At 51.0% G+C, this 24,695-nt stretch overlaps 1 protein-coding gene and 1 long non-coding RNA gene across 4 annotated transcripts, besides 9 other annotated features; one reads left to right on the plus strand and one right to left on the minus strand.

Annotated features, from left to right (window-relative positions):
* Positions 14,850-15,428: an enhancer, noted in NCBI's record as "NANOG hESC enhancer chr10:71329867-71330445 (GRCh37/hg19 assembly coordinates)". NCBI's record gives its function as "activates a minimal SCP1, AML or CMV promoter by ChIP-STARR-seq in naive and primed H9 embryonic stem cells {active_cell/tissue: H9 hESC(naive and primed)}" and the evidence as "EXISTENCE:reporter gene assay evidence [ECO:0000049][PMID:30033119]".
* NEUROG3 (neurogenin 3) lies at positions 16,224-18,161 on the minus strand. 2 transcript variants are annotated; one of them, XM_017016280.2, is made up of 2 exons: positions 17,949-18,161; positions 16,224-17,849 (listed from the first exon to the last, which is right to left on the minus strand). In XM_017016280.2, exon 2 carries the CDS (start codon positions 17,780-17,782, stop codon positions 17,138-17,140), a length of 645 nt encoding a protein of 214 aa, XP_016871769.1. In that variant the 5' UTR covers positions 17,783-17,849; positions 17,949-18,161; the 3' UTR covers positions 16,224-17,137. The 2 variants fall into 2 exon arrangements, with proteins under 2 accessions (XP_016871769.1, NP_066279.2); NM_020999.4 differs by having other exon boundaries at positions 16,437-17,783.
* Positions 16,327-16,954: an enhancer, noted in NCBI's record as "H3K27ac-H3K4me1 hESC enhancer chr10:71331344-71331971 (GRCh37/hg19 assembly coordinates)". NCBI's record gives its function as "activates a minimal SCP1, AML or CMV promoter by ChIP-STARR-seq in primed H9 embryonic stem cells {active_cell/tissue: H9 hESC(primed)}" and the evidence as "EXISTENCE:reporter gene assay evidence [ECO:0000049][PMID:30033119]".
* On the plus strand, positions 17,696-21,898 carry LOC101929021 (uncharacterized). 2 transcript variants are annotated; one of them, XR_946037.2, is made up of 4 exons: positions 17,696-17,806; positions 19,621-19,887; positions 20,758-20,876; positions 21,722-21,898. It is a non-coding gene; the product is annotated as an uncharacterized LOC101929021 (long non-coding RNA). The 2 variants fall into 2 exon arrangements; XR_428765.3 differs by lacking the exon at positions 19,621-19,887.
* Positions 18,212-18,431: a silencer, noted in NCBI's record as "silent region_2436". NCBI's record gives its function as "represses an Ori minimal core promoter by ATAC-STARR-seq in GM12878 lymphoblastoid cells {active_cell/tissue: GM12878}" and the evidence as "EXISTENCE:reporter gene assay evidence [ECO:0000049][PMID:35858748]".
* Positions 20,656-23,580: an enhancer, noted in NCBI's record as "NRF1 and E2F4 HCT region upstream of NEUROG3, chr10:71005679-71008603 amplified region (NCBI36/hg18 genome assembly coordinates)". NCBI's record gives its function as "activates a Hsp68 promoter in transgenic mouse embryos {active_cell/tissue: pancreas | caudal somites}" and the evidence as "EXISTENCE:transgenic organism evidence [ECO:0001131][PMID:20363979]".
* Positions 20,656-23,971: a biological region, named in NCBI's record as "NEUROG3 upstream region homotypic clusters of transcription factor binding sites enhancer".
* Positions 20,758-23,712: an enhancer, noted in NCBI's record as "VISTA enhancer hs1699". NCBI's record gives its function as "enhancer in: tail[4/5]" and the evidence as "EXISTENCE:transgenic organism evidence [ECO:0001131][PMID:17130149]".
* Positions 21,332-23,157: a conserved region, noted in NCBI's record as "conserved region; HCT with multiple NRF1 binding motifs". NCBI's record gives the evidence for it as "EXISTENCE:sequence alignment evidence [ECO:0000200][PMID:20363979]".
* Positions 22,149-23,406: a conserved region, noted in NCBI's record as "conserved region; HCT with multiple E2F4 binding motifs". NCBI's record gives the evidence for it as "EXISTENCE:sequence alignment evidence [ECO:0000200][PMID:20363979]".
* Positions 23,158-23,971: an enhancer, noted in NCBI's record as "H3K4me1 hESC enhancer chr10:71338175-71338988 (GRCh37/hg19 assembly coordinates)". NCBI's record gives its function as "activates a minimal SCP1, AML or CMV promoter by ChIP-STARR-seq in naive H9 embryonic stem cells {active_cell/tissue: H9 hESC(naive)}" and the evidence as "EXISTENCE:reporter gene assay evidence [ECO:0000049][PMID:30033119]".

Genomic DNA, 24,695 nt, shown 5'->3' on the forward strand with positions numbered 1-24,695 from the left:
TGTATATATATATATGTATATATGTATATATATATATGTGTATATATGTATATATATATATATATCTGGAAAGATGTCTACCAAATGTTAACAGCAAGTGAGCTGGGATTTGACCAGATCTTTGGGCTCAAATTCCATGCTCATTTCACCATCTCTCATTGCCTCTTCATCCTGAAATTCTTCCCTCCTTAAAAAGTTCCTCCATCTCCAGGTAGCCTCCTGGGACTCCTTATTCTGCTGTGACTTGGACCACCTCAGTCATTGTAGAAACCCTCTTCCCTCACAAGTGCTGAGGCTGGGAACTCTGCCTGAGGTAGCAAGGCCGCATCTACTTTGAAATGTGTACTTAGTAGAGTCCCCTAGCTGATACAGTAGAGTCCCTGCCCCTACCGCATTATACGAGGCCTCTCTCCTTCCCATCCTGTGGCATGGTCCTGATGGCACAGCGTCCAAGAAACAAGGCTTACGCATATCATTCCCAGGGAAGGCTCATGGGTCTGCACCTAGATTACATTTATTCTTCTTTTGAGCACTGTCCCACTGAGAGCTTGGCTAACTGGCTCCCCAGGCCATACGTGATGAGGGGCAGCACACTAGAAAGTGGGTGACCCGCTGCCAGAGCCGGGCAAGCTAGAGTAGACAAGGGCAGCAGAGATAGGAGCTCAGGCCCCACAGCAGTTTGGGGCATGTGACAAAGGGATGAGCACATCTCAGGAGATCCAGGGGTGCACGGAACTGGGCCAAACACATTTGTGATAGCTCCCTAATCACCTAGACAGGCAGACACAAGGAACTAACACTTGCTGTGCTTTTATTATTTGCTACACACTTGAGGATGGCATGTGCTCTGTTTAAGCAGGTACGAAATCATGCAATACTTTTAAGAGAGTGTGTTCATTCACTGGGCCACTGTAACAAGTTACTACATACTGGGTGGCTTAAAACAACAGAAATGTATTCTCTCACAATTCTAGAGGCCAGAGGTCAGAAATCCTCGAGTTGGCAGGACAACACTTCCTCCAAAGCCTACAGGACAGACTCCTTCCATGTCCCTTCCGGCTTCTGGCGGCCCCTGGCATTCCCTGGCTTGTGGCTACCTAACTCCCGTCTCTGCCTGTCTTCACATGGACTTCAATGCGTCTCATGTCTGTTTCTTCTTCTCTTTTCTTATACGGACTTGTTTTTGGATTTAGGGCCTCCCCTAATCCAGGACGATCTCATCTTGAGATCCTTAACTTAATTATATTTGCAAAGACCCTTTTTCTAAACACGGTCACATTTACAATGTCCCGGTGGATATTTCTATTGGAGGGCCACTATTCATCTCACCGCAGAAAGATTCCTATCTAAAATGGTTACATATTTTTGAAACATACCACGTTAATATTGAACTGATTAAACCGCGGTTTGGACTAAATGTTTCTATAAAGAAGAGCGCATTTCCCAAGCAGGCCAGGTGTGTGGGACCTGGACCTACTTGAATTCCCAGAGTCCCCACCACAGATCAGGGTACATAGAGGAACTCAGCAAATTCCAAGGTGATTGGCTCATTCAATTTCTTTTACATTCCTTTCTCAAACTCCACATGGTACAGTGGGAAATTGGAGAGAAACGAGGAAAGATCATTAGTCTTTGAGTTGGGAGGCAGGAGCTCAAATTCCCTTTCTCTTCCTTACTCACTCACTTCTCAGCCTTTGAGCGCCTCTCCCAGGCCCTTCACATCCACACTTCCCCCGCGAGGCTTTCACCAGTGCAAAGTGTTCCACATCAAAGAAGCTATTCCTGCCATTCCACCATAGGCATTAAAAAAAAATTGAAGTACCACTGTAGCTGGGCACAGTGGCTCACACCTGTAATCCCAGCACTTTGGGAGGTTGAGGTGGGTGGATCACCTAAAGTCAGGAGTTTGAGACCAGCCTGGTCAACATGGCGAAACCCCATCTCCACTAAAAATACAAAAATTAGCTGGGTGTGGTTGGGGGGCGCCTGTAATCCCAGCTACTCCGGAGGCTGAGGCAGATTTGCTTGAACCGCTGCACTCCAGCCTGGGCGACAGAGCGAGACTCCATCTAAAAAAAAAAAAAAAAAAATTGAAATACCACTGTATTCATTAATTGAAGCTTTTAAGTGATGACATTACCCTCTAACTTGAAAATAATACAAGCTCAGTGCAAAAAACTAACAAAATGTAGAAGTGAGAGGAAATCCTGCGATTGCACCGCTTAGTTAATGAATGTTTTTCAAGATGTTTTTTCCTAAGCATAAACGTGCCTATATCTTTTGTACAAATGGTTTCATTCCATACCTCTAAAAGAATGTTTATCATTTTTTATCCAGAATTTTTAGATATTTTCTGGTGGAATGATTTGCATGTTACCTTGTCTGTCATCTTGTTTAAAATCCAGTTTGTTTTTTCAACTAAGCAACATGTTGTGAATATTTCCCATGTCAGTAAGCAGTATTTTACAACACAGTTTTCTATGGGTATTGTAACCTATTGTGTGATACATAGAAAATATCTGTTCTCCATGGTTGAACACTTCCCTTTGTATCTAATTTTTTTCTCATTATGAAAGATAATGTTATGAATACCTTTGTTGAGACATTTTAATGCAATTTCTGATAATTTCCTCAGGAGGATTGTCTGGGCCAACAAATTTGGCTATTTTAAGGCATTAGATAATACTGAAAACAAAGGCTGGATCAATTTCTTAAAAACTGAAAGTAATATATGGGCATGATAAAAATTTTAAAAGTAGAGAAAATCACTAATCATGACCATGACAACAACATCATCAATAACAACAGCTAACAGTCGCTGATGGCTTCATGCAGTCTCCTCCTTTTATATTTTATATAGTATACACTTACCATATATTATATTACAGATTCTATACTTAATCTTTATAGCTATCCTTTGAGAGAGGTACTATAATTATTCCTATTTCACAAATGACATTGGGGTTTAAAGAGGTCTCCTACAATCACCAAGCTGGTAGGTGATAGATTTGTCACCTGAACTCAAGGAGCCTGACTCTGAAGCCGGTGCTGTTGAGCGCTACAATCTACTAAGGAGGGAGGCAGCTCTCAGGCCTCCTGGAAAGGTCTGGGCAGAGGAGAGACAGGCGCTGCAGGCAGGAAGATTAGGTGATGACATGTGGGTGGCCCTAGAGGGAGAGGTGGTGGGGAGGCTCCAGGCAGGACTCCCTGTGTGGCTGGGGAACAGTGCCCTTCAAGAGGCAGGACAGGGCGGGATCCACAGGCATTGCAGAGGACAGTACCCAGGCAGGCGAGGTGAGAGTGGCACCAGGGTTCTAGCTTGGGCAGGTGGGTGGCTGGTGGCCCCTTTCACACAGGTTGCAGAGGAGAGGCCCAGCTCCATAGGTTTGTGCTCATGAACCTGACCTATGCCTCCTTCTGAGGCTGAGGTTGGCCCCATGCTCAGCCCCCCTCCCTTCACTAGCACCAGGCTGGAGGTTCTCACTGAGGTCTGTGGGAACCACATCCTGTCTCCCTCCCTCCTGTTTCATGTTGTCATAGATTAGATGCCCATCGCCACCACCCTGCCCTTGTTGGGGTTAGGGGCTGAGGTTTCCCGATCTACTTTCCTTGCCCTTAAAGAAAGGGGGCTCACCTCTCTCCTTTGCCCCAAGTGTTGATTGTTCTCACAAGAGGCAGTGACTGGAAAGGGGTCTGCCTGCTAAACATACACCTCTTTCTACCTCCCCTCCCCTCCTGTGGGCCCAGAGTCTCAGCCATTATTCCCTAGGCCTACAGCAAAGCCATGGCCCATAAGGTGTCCAGTAAGAGGCCCAAAGAGCAGGGGACAGCCTGGCCGCCACATTCGTTCAGTTCAGTTTTATTAAAAATACCACCGCTGCCACTGAACACCTACCACTTGCTAAGTATTCAAGGGACACAGCGATGTCCTGGACATGGCCCCTGCTTTCAAGCCACGACTCTAGGCCCAGACAACCAGAGTCCTACCTGAGGGATAGAGTCTGTGTCAAGGGGACAGAGGCGTAGCCATCCATTCTAAGTGGGGGAGTCCAGGCTGAGCCCCTGGTGCACTCGGGGCTGGACCCTGCTCTGCCACTATCTCTGTTGTGACCCTGGGCCAGTCTCTTCTCCTCTCTGGCCTTCAGCCTCCACAGCTGTGAAACCAAAGAATGGGACTCAGTGGTCTCTGAGGCCGTTTCCAGCCTGGGCTTGAGGGAGTTTTCTTCCTGGAGTCCTTTTGAGCTGTTGCTGGCTTTTTGCAACCACTTTTTAAAAGCAGTGAGTGAGAAGAGGCGGGGTGGGGGTGGAGAGCACGGGAACTGTAAAGAAATTCTCAGACTGGTCTGTTGCTTTTTGTGTGTGGACCAGGGACTAGGAAGTGCTAGGGGGAGGGTGGGGGGAGAAGGCCAGGGATGGAGTGAGGAGGGGGAGAGGAGGGTGCCTGGAGGGGACAGAAGAATGAAATAAAGGCAATCCAACAAAAGGAAGTGAAAAGTGAATGACAAGTTTGAGGCTGCAGGCTCTAGGCCGGCTAGGCCTTTAGCGGGAAGAATGGAGACAAACGAGCTGGATTTTCATGCTTGGTGGACGTGAATGAAGGAGCATCTTTTAAAACCCTATCAGGAACTCTTTGGATTGTCATTAGATCTGGAAAGGGGAAAAGACGGAGGGAGGAGATTGCTGAATTTGGCCCCTGGGTGTGAAAAGCTCCCAGATTCTTCACTGGCGGCTGGGGGCTTCATGCTCTCTCCTTGCCAGAGCCAGGCACACCTGGGCCCCTGAAAGCTTTCGGTAGATTATTTGTCATTCTGAGGGCCCTTGAAATTCAGTGGTGGTCTCCTTCTGCTCTTGGTGGGTGACCCCACACTGGAGCTACAAGGAAGTGGGGGCTGGGGGTGGACTGGGGGGAGCTCCAGGCTTCTGGCTCCTTGGAGGGTGACCAACCATCTGGGTTTGCCAGGGACACGGGACTTGCAGTGCTAACACCGGAAAAGTCCAGGACAAACCAAGATGACTGGTCACCATACTTTTGGGTGGGGGCTGGTAGGGACAAGAGGGGAGGGAAGTGAATTGCTCAAGGCTGGTCCCACCAAGCCCTGGGGTTAGGCTGGTACTGGAGCCTTGGTCCTGGCCTCCAGCAGGCATCTGGGATACAGGCTGGGAGGATTTTTGTTTGTTTGTACTTTTAAAAAAAAGACAATTAGAGACTTTTGCCTATGACTGGATACTAGATCATGTTTCAGAATTTCTCATGCATTGTAAAAATAGTTTGGTGGTTATGTTTTTAAAAATATTCTTACCATTTAAAAATGGACACTGAAGAATTTACCAGTGGATGATAGATACCTGGGATGTACTTTAAAATATTCCACCAAAAAAAGTCCGTGCAGGTTTGGGGTGGAGGCAAACCGATGAAATGAGGTTGGTAATGAATTGGTGGTTGCAGAAGCTAAGGAATGATGCGTGAAGACACATTATTCTATTCTTTCTGCTTTTGTCTATGTTTGGAAGTATCCAAAATCCAAACTCAAAAAACAAAGAAAAGAAAAGGGGAGCATATCAGTGATGCAAAGTAGCAGTGGTTAAAAGCACTGGCTCTGGGTCAGGACAGCATGGGTCCAAGTCTAACTCCACCTCTACTGGGTAACTGGCAGCATGTTTTTTAACCAATATCAGTGTTATCATTTGTAAAATGGGAATAATAATTCTAATAATTAGTCTATGATCTCAGAGACTAACAAATGGAAAGCACTAGCAGTGTGCCTAGACATAGTATACTCTCAATAAAAAGTAGTTGTTGTTAAGCAAAGATAGGTGATTTGTGGGGAGGACATGCCGTTTCAGCCCAGAGATCCCTTCAGAGCTTGGATCCTGGGAGTGTGGGTGATTTCCTGGAATAAACCTCTCCTGAAGAGGTCAGCTATCGGGACTCAGACCTCACCTATACAATGCACCCAGGCAGGCTTCTTCCCTTCCCACGCCTTCAGCCTGCAGAGAGCCCTCTGCCTGCCCCTCTTTTCTGTTCTCAGTCTTATGTATTTGGCAGAGTTTTCTCCCTACCTCCTCCAGGAAGTCTCAGTGCTGTGCTTATACCTTCATGCCTTTGCTTGACCAGTTTTCCTCTGGTCTCTGTCAGTCAACCAGAAACTGCAAGAGGGCAGGTTGCAGGATGAGCACACGGAAGCTCAGGGATGTGCTGGTTCACACGTAGTGACAGCACACACACAGAAACAAGTGCAACACATGGCACACACACATACAACCCTGAGGCAGGTATGTCAATTCCTGCTAACAAATGGGATCAGAGGTTAGAAAGCCTGAGATGCAAGAGCAGAAGAAGGGGGGACCTGGCCTTGTTCACTGTGGGGTTCATGGTGCAGAATTTAGTACACTGTGAGCAGTAGATGCCAGGGGCTGTCAGCAACTGGAGCCAGGTTCACTGCTGAGGTCTGTGTTGTCAGAATTCAGTGCCAGGTAGAGGGCCATGACGATGAGGCACTTGCCTTCATTTCAGGGGACTGCACCAAGAGACCTGGACACTGGAGGTCAAGAGCTGACCTCCTGCCAGGATGACAGTCATTCCTGGTGGTGCAATGGTCACAAGAGTGGAAATCTTAAAAGCCACCATTTATTCTGCACAGGTGCTGGCACTTGTCTTGTGTTACTTTATTTAATCTTGACAATTACTCTATGAGAAAAGTAACATTGTATCCTTTTATAGTTGAGGAAACTGAGCCTCAGAGACATTAGGCCATTGGCTGAATGTCACACATCTAAGAAGGGGCAAGGCTTGGATTTGAACTTCTCCAGGCTGGCTGTCTGTCTTTGGATTCAATACTCTCAGCTACAGCATTATATATGCAATTTCTGCTGAGCAAAAAAGGATATTGGGGAAGGATTTACTGTGGAAATTACATGCTATCTGGAATTTGTTTCAAAATAATTCATGAAGAAAGTGCCAGGAAAAATGGGTGGGGATGTAGGTGAAATATAATTGTCTCTGAGTAGATAATTCCTGAATCTGGGTGATGAATAGCTGAGAATTCATTATGCTCTTCTCTCTACTTTTGAAATTTTCCATAATACATTTGACTTGCTCTGGGTTCTACCATGGGTTCTACCATGAGTGACCTTGAACATGTTGCTGAACCTCTGTATGCCTCTAGTTCCTCACTAGACTTGGCTCCATCTGTCCCCAACTAATTGCAAGATTGCAATGCCACTCAATCTATGCTCAGGGAATAAAGAGTGTAACAACACCTGGATCTGCTGAGACATGGGTCCCCTTATTTCTAAGGGCAGCCACAGACCCTTTTTAACTAAAGATCTTTCTTTTGCCGCCCACTTCCCAGAAAGAAAAAGTCAGAGAGCTGCCTGTGCATTTGGTCTGTGTCTGAACTTCAGGAATGGAAAAACAAAAATAATTGTGTGTGTGTGTGTGTGTGTGTGTGTGTGTGTGTGTGTGTGGTGGGGGAATGTGCAGTGTGCTGCTCACTCCACCTGTGTGGGTCTCCTCGTCTCCCCTTCCAAGTAGCCACCTGTTCATTCCTCATTCAAAAGGGCCCTGGGGGCCCCAGGCAGAAGGGTGGTGCCCAGACCCTGGGGGAGGCAAATGAGGCTCTGGGCCTCCCAAACACTGGGGATGATAAATGGGGTCCGAGTCTTTCAGGCTTCATTATAGAGTCGCCATGGGTTTGCCCAAACCATGGCAACCGATTCAAGCAATGATTAACCTAATAAAGCAGAGGCAAAGGGGAAAAAGATGCATTCAAGACCCCAAGTCAGGCCCTGGTTCTCTAGAGGCAGTAAATTTCCCTTCAGTGGGTGCAGTGTTCAGGCCCCAGACATCCTAAATCTATGCCTTCGGGAGTGGGGGCAGGGAGGCCTGTGAAAGCCTGTGTGAATGGATGTCAGGTATCAGCTGGGGTGGCTCAAATGCACACATAGCAGTCCCCTGGGCCCTTCTTGGAAGCCAACCCAGTACTGGGGATAGGGAGACATCTGCTTTAACCCCAGTAGTCAAATTACCTGGGCTTTCTTTTTTTGAACTCTGGTGTATTTGACCCTGAGGAGGTAGTGGTGTGTGTATGCATGTGTGTGTGTGTGTGTGTGTGTGTGTGTGTGTGTTTGTGTGTGTGTGTACATATGTCTGTCTGCCTGTCTCTGGGGTGTGGAAAGCAGGTAGCAAAGATTTCTATGTTTGATCTCAGCCAAAAGGCCGAGAAGCAATTGGAAGCAAAGGTTTCTGTTACTGTCAATGTGATGGGCAGCCTGTAAAATACCCACCATGATCTCTGCCTCCTGGTATTCATGTCTCTGTCTTGGATGTCCCCCCTTCACACCTTGGTTGCTTGCATTGAGGGAAGCCAGTTGCCATGCTGTGAGCCACCCTATGGAGAGGCCAACATGGCAAGGAGATAAAGGATGTCTCTGGCCAAAAGCCAGTGAGGAACTGGGGCCCTCATTGCAACAGCCTTTGAGGAATTGAATTCTGCCAACAACCACACGAGTGGGCTTGGAAGTGGCTCCTACCCTAGTCAAGCCATCAGGTGAGACCATATTCCCAGCTGACCCTCTCTGACTGCAGCCTCATGAGACACCTGAACCAGCTAAGCCACACCTGGATTCCTGACCCACAGAAGCCACACATGATAAATGTTTCTTGCTTTAAGGAGCTAAGTTTTGGGTAATTTGTTATGCAGCAATAGCTAACTAGTACAACAGAGGCAGTGTAGCTGGTGATGATGTTATGTTAGCAGGAGCCTCAGTTTGTCTCCGTAATGATCAGGTTTGGGTGCTTGGGCAAGTCCCATCACACTTGCCTGGTTAATTTGGGAAGGTCAGTTCTGGCTCATGCTTTCTTCACTACCCATCTGTAGGAATAAGACGGAGACGAGATGGGTGCTATAATGAGTCTGCCTCATCTTCATCTCATGAAATCCTGTGAGGTAAGCACGGTTTTCTCCATTTTTGTAGCTGGAGAAACTACAGCTACAGCAAGTTACTTGCAGAGGCTAAGTAACTTGCCCAAGGTAATAGGATTAGGAAGTACTGGAGTTGAGATAGATCCCAAGCCTCATGCTCTTTCCACTCACTCAGGAGGGATCTCAGTTTCTCAGGAGGGATCACCTACACATGAACTACTGGCATTGTTACCATGATCTCAGAAACAATGATATGGTACTGTTGTGATAATCTGTTCTTACTTAGTCAGATGGGACATCTTCTGAAATAGATTTATAGGCAGCAAAGGACAGGTTATTTTTGTGCAGAGGATATGAAGCAGGAGGGTTAGTGGGTCTCTATATGACTCATTCATCCATTCATTTATTCAACAAAATTCCTTGGCCTTTATGTGCTAGCCATTCTGGGGAGGGATAAAGATTTCTAAGCAAATAATTGCAATGCCTTTTATTCATTTATTAATAGTCAATTCACTCACTCATTAATTCATTCTGAAAACATGTGGCATTTGGGCTGGGCACAGTGGCTCACACCTGTAATCCCAACATTTGAGGAGGCTGAGATGGGAGGATTGCTTGAATCTAGGAGTTTGAGACCAGCCTGGGCAACATGGCAAAACCCCATCTCTACTAAAAATACAAAAAATTAGCCAGCTGTGGTGGTGCACACCTGTAGTCTCAGCTACTCAGGAGGCTGAGGTGGGAGAATCACCTGAACTCGGGAGGTTGAGGTTGCAGTGAGCTGTGATCACATCACTGCACTCCAGCCTGGGCAACTGGAGTGAGACCCTGTCTCAAAAAACAAAAAATAATAACAAAATATATGACATTTAGTCCAAAATGGGTAATCAGTGTTCTTCTCATTGGAGACATGAAGATGAACATAGTCCCTGCCCTTGAGGAGATCTCACAGATCAATGGACAGTGCAGATAAACAATCACTACACTACCTGCAAAATGCTACAATATTCACATGCACAGGATATTATGGGAGCAGGGAGCAAGGAAGGAGGCATAGTACAGAGAAAGCTCCCAGGCAGAGGTGATATCCATGTTGAAGGTTTGGGGAGGGAAAAAAAGAGAGAAGGTTTAGACAGACAGAACAGTGTGTGTGTGGGATGGGGGGAAAAGCATTGAAGGGGTACCTGAGTGTGTGTAAAGGGAAAACTTCAAGCAGGTCATCACTTCTGGAGGGTAAATATCAAGGCAAATGAGGCATTGTGAGAAAGAGACTGGTGTGGCAGGACTCTGGCCATAAGCATACCTGACTTTTGATGATGAAAACAAATAATAATAGCATATGTAATCCAATTTAATCCAGACCACGATGCTGTGGTAGAGTCTGCCCACTGCCTGCCAGAATACATTCTTCACGTCTTCTAGGCACATAGTCGCTCTTCCAGCTAGATGAGGCCACGTGATCATATTCTTTTTGTGAAATGTGAGCAGAGGTGATGTGTGCTACTTCTGAGCATAAGTTTTAAGGCTGTGGGTAAGCCTCCTCCATGCCTTATTTCCCCTTTCCCCTGGCTGGAACTTATGGCAATGAAACTTCAACCATTTGGTTGGCAAGGATCTGGGAGCTGGTGGAGGAAGAAGATGAAAGGATCCTAGTCCCAGAATGATGTCATGGAGCAGAGGTTCCCACCCACCTGGAATACTCACCTCAGATTGAATTATTAGAGAGTCTCTCCTACAGCAACCAAGCTTTAAGCTTACTAGAACCCTAAAAAGTAATATCGCTATCCCCATTTTATGGATAAAGAAATGGAAAGAAAGATTAAGGAATTTGTGCATGTTTATACTGATTGTTAGTGAACCAGCTGGAAATTGAGCCCAGATTCATATAAATTCACAGCTCACACTATAAAATTATTCCTAGTTAGAACATCAGCTTTATCCTATGCAATGATGGGAAACCATTTGAAGATTAAACAGGAGAGTTACAATGTTATATTCACATATTAGATGGGAACTCTGGCTGCTGCATGGAGGGTACAATGATGAGTGTCAAGATTAGAGGTGGGGCCAGATGTGGTGGCTCATGCCTGTAATCTCAGCACTTTGGGAGGCCAAGGTGGAAGGATCACTTGAGCCCAGGAGTTCAAGACAAGCCAGGCCAACATAGTGGGACCCCATCTCTACAAAAATTGTTTTTAAAAATTAGCTGTGTGGTGGCATATGCCTGTGATCCCAGCTACTTGGGATGCTGAGGTGGGAGGATCACTTGAGCCCGGAAGATCAAGGCTGCAGTGAGCCATGATCATACCACTATACCCTGGCCTGGGAGACAGAGTGAGATTCTATCTCAAAAAAAAAAAAAAAAAAAAAGGACTAGAGGTAGAGAGATCAGTTAGGTATTCTCTGCAGATAAGGGATAAAAGCCTGAACTAGGGCAGTGGTCACAAGAAAGCAAAGAAGGAGCCATGTTCAACAAAAAACGAGAAAGAAAATCAGCAGGACTTGAGGGTTAACTAGATATGGGTAGTGAGAGATCAAGATGAACCCCAGATTTCTAGTATGAGGGATGCTACTTAGTGAGATCAGGAAAAGGGGACAGCATTAGCTTGGGGAACCAGGAGAGGATTTCCATTTTGGACTTCTTATTTGGAGTGCCCTAGGGACATCTGAACATTTGATCTTAGAGCTCAGAAACGGTAAGTTTACCAGGAAGGGATGGGTGACTCTTGGCCTTTCTCCTAGTTTACAATACACAGGGGTGCAGAGAAAATTCAAATTCATACAAAAGCCCTCTCCTCCCCAAAATGGGGGAGAATGAGAAGATTTCTTTTTTTTTTTTTTGAGACAGGGCCTCACTCTGTTGCCCAGGCTGTGGTACAGTGGTGCGATTTCGGCTCTCTGCAACCTCTACCTCCTGGGTTCAAGCAAGTCTCATGTCTCGGCCACCTGAGTAGCTGGGATTGCAGGTGTGTTCTACCATGGCTGGCTAATTTTTAAATTTTTAGTAGAGATGGGATTTTGCTATGTTGGCCAGGCTAGTCTCAAGCTCCTGGCTTCAAGTGATCTGCCCACCTCGGCCTCCCAAAGTGCTGGCATGAGACACTGTGCCCAGCTGAGAAAGAGAAGAATTTGAGGCAAATAAAGAGCTAATTATAGTAAATACCACTTATGGAGGCTTAGAAGGCTGGATAAGCATGTTTAATCAGTACAATAGCCCAATTAAGTGGCTACTATTTATTGTCCCATCTTCATAAATGAGGAAAAGGGTTCTTAGGAGAGACAAGGAGGTTTAATTGAAAACCACTAGGTTGTGGCAGACTGGAACTTGAACCTATGTCTGTGGGGTTCTAAAGTCATATCTTTTAACCACTCTAATCTCCTGTGTATGCATCTGGAGGACTTCCTTTGGGCTTTGTTCTTGGAATAACTAAAGCTTGTAACCCAAAGAATGAGAGTCCGGTTGAGGGCAAAGTTCCAAACCAGTTCTCCCAGCTAGGGCTGCCTCAGCTTAAATTTTAAAGGTTGTTCACCTCGGACCTCTCAGATGCTATCAGAAAGTCCTAAGCTAGTTACTTAATTCTAGCTCCATAATTTGTAAGGGTGGGAGCCCTAAGGTGCACAGAGAGAAGGGCAAGTCAGTTAGTAGCAACAGAGCCCTTGCTTTCCTTATCGCACTAGGGAAACCTGACAGTCCTCTGGGTCTGCATGTCCACAGGGGCCTCCCTAGGACTACGAACTGGAATCGTGGGCAGAGGGGGTTGATAGGTTGTTTCCAGTATGAGAACGCCTCACTCCCAGACGCATCTCTCGCGCTGGATCTACGTGGTCATTTCAGCACCATGGTCAGGGGCGCGCAGCTGCATTTCGGGATCTCAGAGCAACTGCTAGACAGCCTTAGCTGGACAGGCGTCCGCTCCGTCGGCCTTGGCCCACAGATCCCAGAAGCAGAGACAGCAGACAGGAGACTGGAACTTCGTCAGGGGTCCAGGGAGGCCAAAGCTCAGGGACCCCTGGACCTTATAAGACCACAAGGACCCAGTTCTAGCCAAAGGACATATTACTATAGACTGATTCGCCATCTCCAGTACTCTTATCTATGGGCACAGAGGAAAGAGTTCCAAACTGCTAGCTTAGAACCAGGGTGTCAGTCCTAGTTTGTTGCAATAACTCGCCTAGTGATTGAGGGCCTTGGGCAAGTCATCTTCTCTCTTTCCATAGGTGTGACCACACTGCCTTGCACACCTCACTGGCTCTAGGAGGGTACCGGAAATAAAAAGTGTCTAGCCTCAAGTCATTTACTGCTCACTTGGCCCTTGGAAGGCAGAACAGCCAGGTAAGGTTAGCAGTGTCACCACCCCCCACCCCACCCCTCCACTCTCTCACACACTTTTGTTGAAATCTGTCTGCAGGGATTTTTAAAGGGGGCAGACGGAAAGCCTCACAGCAGAGAGTATTCCTTACATAAATGTAATTACAATGTACCCAGCGGTTGTTCTGTGCCACATTCTCAGGTGAATCCCCCATACCTTCCCCACACTGTCTCTAGTCTCAGGGTCTGAAGGGTTTTTTTCACCGCTTCCGGTCTTGAGGGGACTGTGACGCCGTTCACCTTGTGCCAGCCTTGTGTTAGGCACCCAGAAACCCAGCGAAAGGATATTAGGAACTCTTTCCAACTTCTCTTGTGGATTAGCTGAGGCAAGGAGACTTGTCCAAGGTCACACCGCTCGGTAGTCCGCGAGGGAGAGAAGGAACAGTATGCGCCTGTGGGGTCGCGTGCGCCCCGGGCCCCGCCTACCTTTGTGCCAGCCCAGCGGCCTGGCTCCCAGACATTAGCATTCCAATGGCCCCGGGACGCTTTTGTCCTCCGACTGAGGCCGGCTGGGGGTGGGGTGGGATGGGGGCAGGGCACCATAAATCTACCTGCTTGTGTGCCAGCGCGGCTTGACTGGAAGGAGGAGCAAGATTCATGTGCGGTTTTTCTGGAAGCCAGTCTTGGGCTCAGACAAAAGCAGAAGAAGGGGGGAGAGCCATTCGACGAGAGGGTCTTTCCTGCCCGGGTTTCGGACACTGTTGGAGTTTCAGGGAGCTTGGGCGCAGGCGGCGATCTCAAAGCGCAGCAGGCTCCGCAGAAGAGGCGGGCTCCGGGCAGAGACCGCTAGCAGCGCGGTTTAAAAAGCCCCAGGACTCAAAACGCCGCAAGAAGTGGAAGGCGGGGACGGTGGTGCAGAGCTAGTTGGACAGGCCACCCCTAGAAATGTTTCCGAGCCCTTCTTGCTCAGGGGTTCTTTGGAAAGAGGCATGGACGAGGTTTCCCACTCCAGCGTGATTCCACACACTTAGACGGAGCTCATCCAGCACGGAACCCTAAACTTTGCCTCCGTGATTCAAAGAAACCCTAAACCCTCCTCCGCCTTCTCCTGACTTGGAGAGTGGGGCTGACTGCTCCGGGGGTCTAATCCGCCCCAACCCAAGGTGGCGGCCTAGCAGCCGAGTTGGTTAACCCGTACGTGTGTGTTTTAATTTGTGGGGCGGAGGACCAGTCTGTGTGTGTTGGGTGACTAATGGCTCCTTAATGAGCGCCCTCAAAAGCAGGAGAGGGACTGGGCTGTGGGGGAGAACGCAGCTCACCCGGTTGCCGCCTGGAGAACGTTAGCCCAACAAACGCCCCTCCAGCTTCTGGGGGTAGTTTGTACCCAGAGAGTCCCCTGCCTAGATGATGAACAGTACTTCGCACAGCCTTACCCAGAAAGAAGAATCTTTCCACTTGAGGAATTCCTCTCCAAATCTTTAGTCCTGGCCCAAATGCCACCTTCTCCTGCAAGCTCCCGGCACTCCAGCCCCAAGGTGGCAGTTTGATGTTCCATCCTGTGGCTCATATCTCCCTCAACCACCAATATTTCTTAGGCCTTAAGTGATTTTGTCTATATCCTTGCTACTGTCCTGCCAGAATAGAGAGACCTTCTCGATTTTTGTGTCTGCCTACCCCCTACCCCTAACGCCCAGCAAATCACAGGTGTTTGCTTGGTTTGTGCAACTCCCAAGCTGCTGACACCTGTCCCCGGGCAGTGACCCAGGTGGAAAGTTGGCTATTGCAGAGGTCATCAATAACCCATTAATCTCCTCCTCCCAGATTAAAGCCACAGAATGAAACAACACCTTCGTTCATTCGTTTGTTTGCCATGTCCCTCTTCCCGCCCTCAAATCCTGCCGCTGATAACTGAGACAAGTCTCCTCTGAGCTAACTTTAGAGATTTGTGGTAGAGAAGAGGAAAATTTCCATTTGAATTGGGTAGGGCATAGGAGAGAAAGAGAGATGCAAGAGGCATTAACCCCTGAGAAGACACCACCTTTGCACTCTAATGTGCTGGAAAAGCAACCTCTCCACCAGTTCCTGGGGCCTGGCAGCACCGCGCCTGACCTGGGTTGGCCCACTTCTTCCCAGGACACCCCTGGCCAATTCAAGGAGGCCTCTGTAGTTCAACTAGCAGGTAGGGTGCCCGTCCTTCACTTTCCTATTCCCAAGCAGCAGGCGAACTCTGGATCCTTACAGCTTAGACCATATTCTCTGAGGTCCTAGGGGTCCCTGAAGTCATGTAGTGGTGCTCTACTGGCACTCCTGGGACAGATTTCAGTGCTCATGCTGCACCAGTCCTATTCCACCTTGCCAGTAAGAGACATGGTGTGGCTGGAAACCTTGAACAGTTTCTTAATAAGTTTTCAATCAAGGCTGCCAGGTGATGAGGGAGGGGGCGTTGCTGGATATTCCAGCCAGACGCTCCACCTTCTTTGCTCCTGGCTGCTCAGTTCAAGGAGTTCACGACACAGCCACCTCAGTGCCTGGGGAGTAAAATATGCTCAGGGGATTTGCTAGGCCTCTAAGCACCTTGGGAAAATTCCTAGGATGCCCAGCCCAGCCGTGTTTCCGAGGACTCTGACTCTGCAATTGAATTATTACTGTATCCCTTCCCCAAGTGCAACCAACAGTTGCTCTAAAGCTAGGCTGGTGGAGTTGGGGAAAGGGCCAGCAAGTGAGAGTCAGTTGTCCTAGTTGGAGGCTTGTCTTTCTTCTAAACCACTCTTTGAAATAAGAGGAGTCATTGCCCTATATAGAAAAAAGGGAGCTGGACCAATAATTACTTAGAAGACTTCCAGCTCTCCAAACCCAATCTGCCCTGGCTCTAGCCCAGACCTCCAGAAAGAGTGTCATCCCTCTCTTTGGACAGAAGTGCTCTTCCTCAGCTGTAGTGACTGTGGCCCTCCTCTCCCCAACACACAATGGAGTCATCTTGCCAAGGCTTCTTGAAGGTCCATTTTTTTTTATTGGCTTAAAATCTCATCCAGCAATCCCTAAATAATCTAATATACAAAATATAGGCTTTTCCCTGCTGTGAAATCTCATTAATAAATACAAATGTGTAAAACAGGGGAGGGGCCATATAATTTACTGTACCAAAATTGATTTCAAAAGGCATCATATAATTTACAAACAGATTTAAAAAAAAAAGATGCGCGGTGCTCCAGGCACCTGCAGCGCAGCTCACGTTTCAGGCGCAGTTCGCAGGGAGGCTGGGGAGATGCTCCCTGGCCGGGCTAGCGCTTTCCCAGTTCACAGCCTGGTCTTCCGCCCCGGGAGGGCAATGGCTCCGAAAAGTGCACGAGGAGAAGGCAGAGGGTCGCCTTCGTGGCTTTAAGGCAGAGTGAGGCGCCCTGAAATCCCGGACCTGATTGGGAGTAGAGCAGATCGGCAGCGTCTTTGGAGCAAGGCAAGGGGAGTAAGCGCTGAGAGACCAAACATTGGATTGAATCACATTGGAGGAGGGGTGGTAAGAGACTGAGAGGCAGACAGACTTGAGTGAGGGTAGGGCGACCCAAGACGGTGGGCGGCTCCGGCCGGGTAGTGCTACCATTCTAGTATTCTTTGAATGAGATTATGGGGTGGTGGCAGAGAGGAGGCCTAAAATGAGCGCACTTTGCAATGCCCACTTCGCGCGGGCAGCAGCAAGGGTTGCGTGCGTTGGCGCGGCTCGGAGGGCCGGGGAATGAACCCAGCCTGCCGCCCCCGTGGAGGCCTGGGCCGGCCAGGGGTCAGCCAGGGAGAAGCAGAAGGAACAAGTGCTTTTGAGGGCCGCCGCCGTCGGCCACCCTCTACGGCTCCCGGCTCCCTCCCTCTCCCTTACCCTTAGCACCCACAGCCCAGCGACAGACAGGTCCTTTCACAGAAAATCTGAGAAAGCCAGACTGCCTGGGCTCAAGCAGGCGGAAAAGGTGGCCCCCAGCAGCCCGGGTCGCTCCTCCAGCGACGCGGCGGGACTCAGGCTGCCAGCCTGGGAGACTGGGGAGTAGAGGGACCCCCAGTCCCCGGGGGAACCGCCTGGGCTGCCCAGCTCCCCGCAGTGCGGCGCCGGCGGCTCCAGCGCGTACAAGCTGTGGTCCGCTATGCGCAGCGTTTGAGTCAGCGCCCAGATGTAGTTGTGGGCGAAGCGCAGCGTCTCGATCTTGGTGAGCTTCGCGTCGTCTGGGAAGGTGGGCAGGACACCGCGCAGGGCGTCCAGTGCCGAGTTGAGGTTGTGCATTCGATTGCGCTCGCGGTCGTTGGCCTTCTTTCGCCGACTCCGTCGCTGCTTGCTCAGTGCCAACTCGCTCTTAGGCCGGCTGCGTCCCCCGCGCCGTGCCCGGAGCTTCCTCGGGGCCCCTCGGCAGCCTCCCTCTTCCGCCTCTGCGCAGTTCCCCCGTGTGCGAGTGGGGCTGGGCGGGGCGGACGTGGGGCAGGTCACTTCGTCTTCCGAGGCTCTGGGGAAGGACCGCTCCGTCTCACGGGTCACTTGGACAGTGGGCGCACCCGAGGGTTGAGGCGTCATCCTACGGCGGGGTCAGAGGGAAGGGTAAGTTTGAGTCCGTCACTGGGCGCAGTCCGCGATTCCGAGGCTAGGTGGGAAAAAACAAAAACAGCCATCCTCCCAGCCCCCGCTGGGTCAGAGGATCCCTCTTTCCCCTGCCCGTCCCTCGGAGGCCTCCAAATATTACCTTTCTACCGGCGCAAAAGAATAGAGAGCGATGAGCAGCGAGGGCCGTGGGGAGCTCAGCGGGCTTCTGGTCGCCAAGTTCAGCTGAGCTGCAGGCGCCCCCGCCTGGGAGTTGCCCCAGCCCCAAAGGAGAAAAGAAGAGAGAATGGGGTCCGAGGCCTCTGTCACGCTCTCTCTCGAGGCGCGGCGGTGAGACCGCAGGGATTTCCTGAGCAGCAAGTCGTGTGCCCCTTGGCACGCTTTATCTGCTTCGCCCGGGCCAGGAGCGTGCCTGCCCGGCTGCTGCCCGCGCCACCGGCCAATCAGCGCCGGGGCCCTGGGGCCGCGCCACGCGAGCCCGCTCCTCCCCCGCAGGGCACAGCTGGATTCCGGACAAAGGGCCGGGGTCGGGGGAGGGGAGCGCCGCTCTGTTTGCTCTCTCGAGGGCGGGCTGGGTCCCAGCAACTCTCGGTTCCTCAAAGAGCCTCGCCCAGTGAGAAGAGCCTCGTGTGGCTCTGGTCAGGCCACCTCAGACGGCTTTGCTCCTAGCCTATCTTTCCTTAGCATCTGTCCTGGAGGGGACTTTGATGCCTCTAGGGTACAATGCCTGCACGTTACACATGGGGAAATTTAGGCTTAGTGAGGGAGGTGGCTTGTCTGAAATCGCACAGGAAGATAGTGGCAAAGACAACCACGAGCTCATTGTCCTGACTAGCAGCCTGGAGAAGGGTCCAGGAATTCTAAAGGACGCCCTGCTCTCCTGGTGTTTCACTGCCTCTCTTCATCCTGGAAGACAGGGGACATCACTGAGAGAGATCCTGCCTATGTCCCTTCCATTCGCAGACCTTTTGGGGGTGTCCGAGCCTCTGCCACACCCTGAGATGCTACCTCACACTCCCCAGAGGCGCTTAGAACCCCACCCCCATAGATCCCACTCCAGAGGCAGGGGTTGGCTGTGCGGGGACCCCTCAAGCGGACATTCCATTACTACAAGCCTACTACAGCTTGTAGATAGTATCCCAGCGTTCTGGCCAGGAACCGTGACAGGAAGAGTTCTGGGAAGTGTGAGGAGGGGAGGAAGGAACCAGGAGTTCACAGTGAGCTCTTGCTTCTTTTTTTTTTTAAACGAACAAACAAAACCAAAAAACGGTCTCCTTCTGTCGCCCAGGCTGGACTGCAGTGGTGCAATCACAGCTCACTGCAGCCTTGATCTCCTGGGCTCAAGCTATCCTCCCACTTCAGCCTTCCCAGTAGCTGAGACTACAGGCATGCGCCACTGTGCCCGGCTAATTTATTTGTATTTTTATTTTGTATGGGGTGAGGGGCGGTCTTGCTTTGTTGCCCAGGATGGTCTCGAACTCCTGGGCTCAAGCGTTCCTTTCACTTCAGTCTCCCAAGGCGCTGGGAAGCAGAGCTGCTGTGCCCCTCCCCCTCGTGTCTTTTGAACTACCACAGCGTGCAGGCACTGGGAGAAGCTGATAAACTTTTTCTCCCCTTAGTCCTCCGGTCCAATCACAGACAGACAGCAGCTGCCAGCAGTCACCTGCTCCAGCCCCCTGCCTCTGCATCACTCGGGCATCGCACAGAGAGCACAAGGCAGGGACTTCCCCAGCCCCTTGGGTTGTCCCTGGTAGCGCTCTCTGGAAACCTTTCCAAAGGGACTCTGAACTCATCATCCCTCCTTTCTTCCCCAGCCCCTCCTCTTGTCCCCGCCTGGGACATCCCGTGGTCTTCTGCTTCCGGTCACTCAGAGTGAGGGGTTGCAGCTTCCGCTTCTCTCTCTTGACCCGGTCGTGCCTGGAGGAAGACGCCGAGGCGGGAGGTTTAAGTATCCCGGTTTAAGTCTCCTTAGGCGAGGAAGGCTTCTCTTTCTAGCAGGTCCAGATATCCTGAGTCTCCCGGAAACTGCAGGAGGGGACAGGACCCGACTTCGAGACTGTAGGGTGGGGTGAGGGGATGAGGTAGGTCTGTGAGTCTGCCCTAGTGATAGCCTCTTACCGCCTAGGCTGCTTGGGGGCAAATTTTCCTCCAAGGAAGAGGGTGGTATGCTCAGGAACCAGCGAGAGGGGGGCTCTAGGACTGGGCGGGGGTGTGGCGCGGTCCTGCTGATCTTAGCTGGTGCTCTGTGAGCAGGCTCCTTCCCTTGCTGTGGGGAAATGAAGCCTGAGACCAGGGTCAGAACCAATAAAGGGACCATCTGGGACTGTCAGGTTAGCATTTTGCTGCAGCTGCTCCCTTAGGTCACCACTCACTAGGAGCTTGTCTTCTTCTCATAAGAATGGGAATTTGAGGCCTTCTTTAAAGATGAAAAAATCAAGGCCCAGAGAGGGGGAGTGACTCTCTCAAGGTCACACAGCAAGTTCTATCAGAACCACATAGAAGTCATATCTTAAGACTCCTAGCCCTAGATTTTCCCTTGCACCAGCTACTGCTCCTTGATTTGGGAGAAAACATTTTTTTTCAAGGCAAAACAAGAGACCCCAAAATGCAGAAAATAGAGGAAGTCCTGAGTCTGGGGGTCAGATTAGAAAAGAAATAATGGTCCCATTTTCTAGGCAAGGGGAACCACTGTCCATTCAAGCTGCTGCTGCTGCTGCTGCTTCCTCCTCCTCCTCCTCCTCCTCCTCCTCCTCCTCTTCTTCTTCTTCTTCTTCTTCTCCTCCTTCTTCTTCTTTCTCCTTCTCCTTCTCCTCCTCCTTCTCCTTCTTCACACTTGTCTGCCTCATAGGCCAGCCTTGCCTGATTTATTTAACTGCAAGTTAGAAACTGGGAGAGAACCAACTTGGAGCTTTTTTGGTCTGGGAAAGAAAATCCAAACCATGCTTCTCTAGGGCCTCCTGACCTGGCTAAGCACCTTGGAGGGAACCCTGGCCACGAGGGATCCAAGCACCGCTCTGGTTTCCCAGAAGCCTGTGGATGACTCTCATCTGGCGGTGGACCTCAGATGGGGGTGAGTGGACCTCAGATAGGGGTAGGTCTCACTCTGGCTGGGGCCTGCCTGGAGCGGCTAATGGATACTGACAAGGTTCGCAGGGTGAGCTTCCCATGCCAGGAAAGACTCTGGGGATTCTTTCAAGCTTTCTTGATAGGTAGAGAATTCTGGGACCTGCTTGGAATTCTTATCCAGCCTCCCCCAAACCCCTCCGGCTCAGGGCCCTCCAGGGCTTGCAGTTCTCCATCACTCCTGCTTTGCGCAAAAAGCAGCCAGGGCGAGGAGCGCGCGGTGGCTGGGGGCAGCCGCCTTCTTGAGGGATGCAAGGATTTCCCGCAGTCCTCTTCCAGCCAGGAGGCCAGGGCCGGAGGTCAAGGAGTCTTAGGCGATTAGAGATTGAGGATCCATGCCCTCTGTCTCAGCTGCAGGGGACACATAGACCCCTCTCCAAAGTTAATTCCTGTGCCTTTGGCTGCGGAGGCGCAGGCGGTAATGACTCCGTGCGCACCGGCAGTGTTTGTGAAATGGCTCTTCCCGCAGACAGCAGAGTCTGTTCCTGCAGCTCCTGGTCATCCACCGCCCCTAAGACCTCCAGGACTCCCGCACCCCTACACCTCCTGAGACCTAAGTTTGCCTGGAGGCTGAGGGGTCCCGGAGAGAGGCGGTAGCCAGACGCCTGGAGACCGCGGGCACATTGGAAAAGAAGGAAGGCAGCGGCCCGCCTTCCTGCCTTCTTGTCGGCGGGGGTAGTTTTAGCATTGCCTGGGGGCTCTTTGAGAATTGTGCAGGGAGGGAGGGGGGCCATGGGAAGCTGAATAGCTAATGGCTTGCCAGAGGAGGGGGATTCTTTCTCTCGCCTTCAGCTCAGCAGTGAAAGAGGGGAAGACAAAAATCTGGCGAGCGAGCTGCCCGGGCCGAGACTGGCCACTTCAAACAGCCCTTCAAACAAAAGGAGACGACGAAAAGAAAGCCCCACCTGTCTCCAGTGTTTGCTAAAATAATAATAAATAGATTTCGTTTAATAAATAATTACAAGAGATTGTAAAGTGGAGTGCTTTGGAAAACATCTACCGCGGGAGTCCGTGCAGCCAGCCGTCACCTGCTCCTAAGGCGAACAACTTTATTGTTAAGCCACCCCCCAACTAGTTCGCCCTGATAAACTCTCCCTCATTTTCACAATGACTGTTTACTCATAGTTAGCACAATATTACCTTTGCCGTGATAAACCCGGAGGGGGGAGACCTGGCCCCTGGCCCCTGGACACACCTGTCCCAGAAGCTGACACATGGATTTGGCACCAAGCAGGCCTCCCCGCGGGGGCCCTGCCCCCGTGTACATTGGCCCAATTGCCACTCATTTATAACAGGTTGGCTGCAAGGCCTATCTCGGTCCTATTTGTCTTCTTTTATTGAAAGCATATGGTCTCCAGGGGCTCACCAGACCCATATTTCATCTGCCAGGAGCTGGAGCGCTTCCGCAGGCTGGTGCTGCCCAGCGCGCAGCTCCCCACCCAACGGCTGCTGCGCCAGCTGAGGGGATGGTGGAGGCAGGGTAGGGAGAGATAAGACGGGCTCCTCACCCACTTTCGGAGAGAAGCCGTTCCCTCAGAGACTCCCCCTCCCCAGGCTCAGGGACCTCGTGCGCTCTTGAAAGGGTGGCCGGTTCTTTTTCTTGGGTAGGTGACAGGGCGCCATATGCCACCCCCCAGGGCGCACACGGGAGCTCCGGCCCAGGGAGTCTTCGAACAAAGGGAAGAGAGGGCCCGGGCGCTCAGGAGAGCCGGAGGTCTTTATTTCCAGATCCCCCCTCCCTGCTCAGGGCCGCCTCCCCTAGGCGTCCGCAGCTCGCGCGCGGCGCCTGGAAACAAAGTGTCCACATTATCCTCGCCGGCGGCTGAGACCGTCAATGCGTGAAAAGGTGCATTGCGCACCAAGACACCTGTTGAAGCGGCTCCTCTTCTCAGCGCCCCTCTCTGCTCTGCGCTCGGTCAGGAGCCGCGCAGGGAGCGGGGGGTGGGAGGAGGGAGAGACACTGTGATTTGTGGCGACATATGTTGAGCAGATCGTTGTGTACTCTTCACAGGGACACATGCACCCTCGCTCCCATACACACCCCGCGAGAAGGAGCAGCTGCTCTCCTCACCTTCTCCCAACATAATACCTGGGCCAGGCGCTTTGGCCTCGCCTTTTGAGAGTTTAGCTCTCCTCCACCCCCCACCCCCCGTCTTCCACCCCCACCTACCGCCCCAATCTTAGCAGCTTCGCTGTAGGACTTTATTGTCAAATTTAACACATGCACATTTGTTCCCAGCGCTTGGCCCCAAATACACACACACGTACAAACACGCAGGCATCCACAGAAAACGCGACTGATGACACAGATGCGGAGCGCGAGATGCCCATATGTCCGGCTCTGCGCCCATCCCGGCTGGGGAAACGAATAGGCTGTGTGATTTTCCCTCCCCAGGAAGAAATAAACAACGGAACCCGGCGGGGGAGGGGAGGCCACCTCCAGGCGGCTCCAGTTTGGAGCTCTTGCCCTTTGGCGCGTTGCGCCACCTCACAGTGCTGGCAGCCAGGAGAGCGCAGGGCAGCGGAGGAAGAGCGCGGCTTGCCAAAAGGCGGCTGGGACAGGGGCCGCTGGACGGAGCGGAGAGGGTTGGAAAGTCTGGGGGTGCTCGCTGGGCATCGCCTGACCCCTGGGCTCTTGAACTCTCGGATGGTGAAGACTCTCCCGTCCTCCTGGGATTCCCAGGAGTTGGCGTCCACCTGAGGCGCACTAGGGGCGGGCGGGTACACCGGGAGGATTCTGCTTGGCAGCTTCTCCAGCCTGCTTGTCTCCTTAGCAGGTTGCATGCACGTTTCCAGATGCGAGCCTCGGTGACAAAACTTGATGGGAAGAGCAGCAGATGTGCGTGAGGATTGGGGGTGGGGTGGGGGAGGCAGCCTGGCTCTGCGGCTACTCCTGTGTCACTGAAAGCATATCTTTCCTCTGGGCCTGTTTCTCCTCTGTTAAAGGAGAGATCTGTGAGGGAAATATTCGGTAAATTCCTCTTCGACTTTGCAAAATTTGGAAATTTTAGATGTCAATGGGCCTTCTGCTGTGAATGGAGGAAACCCAGAGAGAGTGTCACTCCCCTCCCCCAAATAACACATACACATACACAGACACACACACACACACACACACACACACACACACACAAAATTTCCTTGGGTCTGAGTTTCTGGCCGATTGGCCTTTCACCAGCAATTGAAGGGCTGGGGGCAATGATGGTAGTGGGGAAAGATAGGTTTGGCACTGGGAGTTCAGAAAGCCATCCTCTGCTGCCTCCATCTTTTAACTCTTGGTGCAGAGCAACTCTTGGGCCATTGTGACACTCAGCAACAGGTCAGGCATGCTTGCTGACAGCAGGCTTTCAGACCTTCCTGTCTTCAGGTGCTGGGATAGAGCTGGGAGCTGGTTTGCGGGTGTGTGGCTACTGAGCTCCTTTCTCCTCCAAGCCTGTTTCTGGAAAAACCGAAAGTGTGCCCCACCCACCATCTGTGCGAACTTGGATGCTCTTCTCATTCCCTAAATAGGGGCAGCCTCCCTCAGCCATACACATATTGTTTTTACTTTCTGTGTGTGAATTGATTTCACTAAATGCAGTACTTACGTTCCCCATATCCACCGGCCTAGGGCAGGGGACATTCTCCTTTGGGAATTCCTCTGTAGAAGTCAGGCTTGAGATGGCAGATGAGCTCTCTGCCTGGCCGGTCCTCTTTTCCCCAACCCTGGTGCCTCCTCCGACGCCCATGGTGATTCTCTTTAGGCAGCAGCAGTAAGAACCAAAGG

This window comes from Homo sapiens, chromosome 10 (assembly GCF_000001405.40).
Source record: "Homo sapiens chromosome 10, GRCh38.p14 Primary Assembly".
Taxonomy (NCBI): Eukaryota; Metazoa; Chordata; class Mammalia; order Primates; family Hominidae; genus Homo; species Homo sapiens.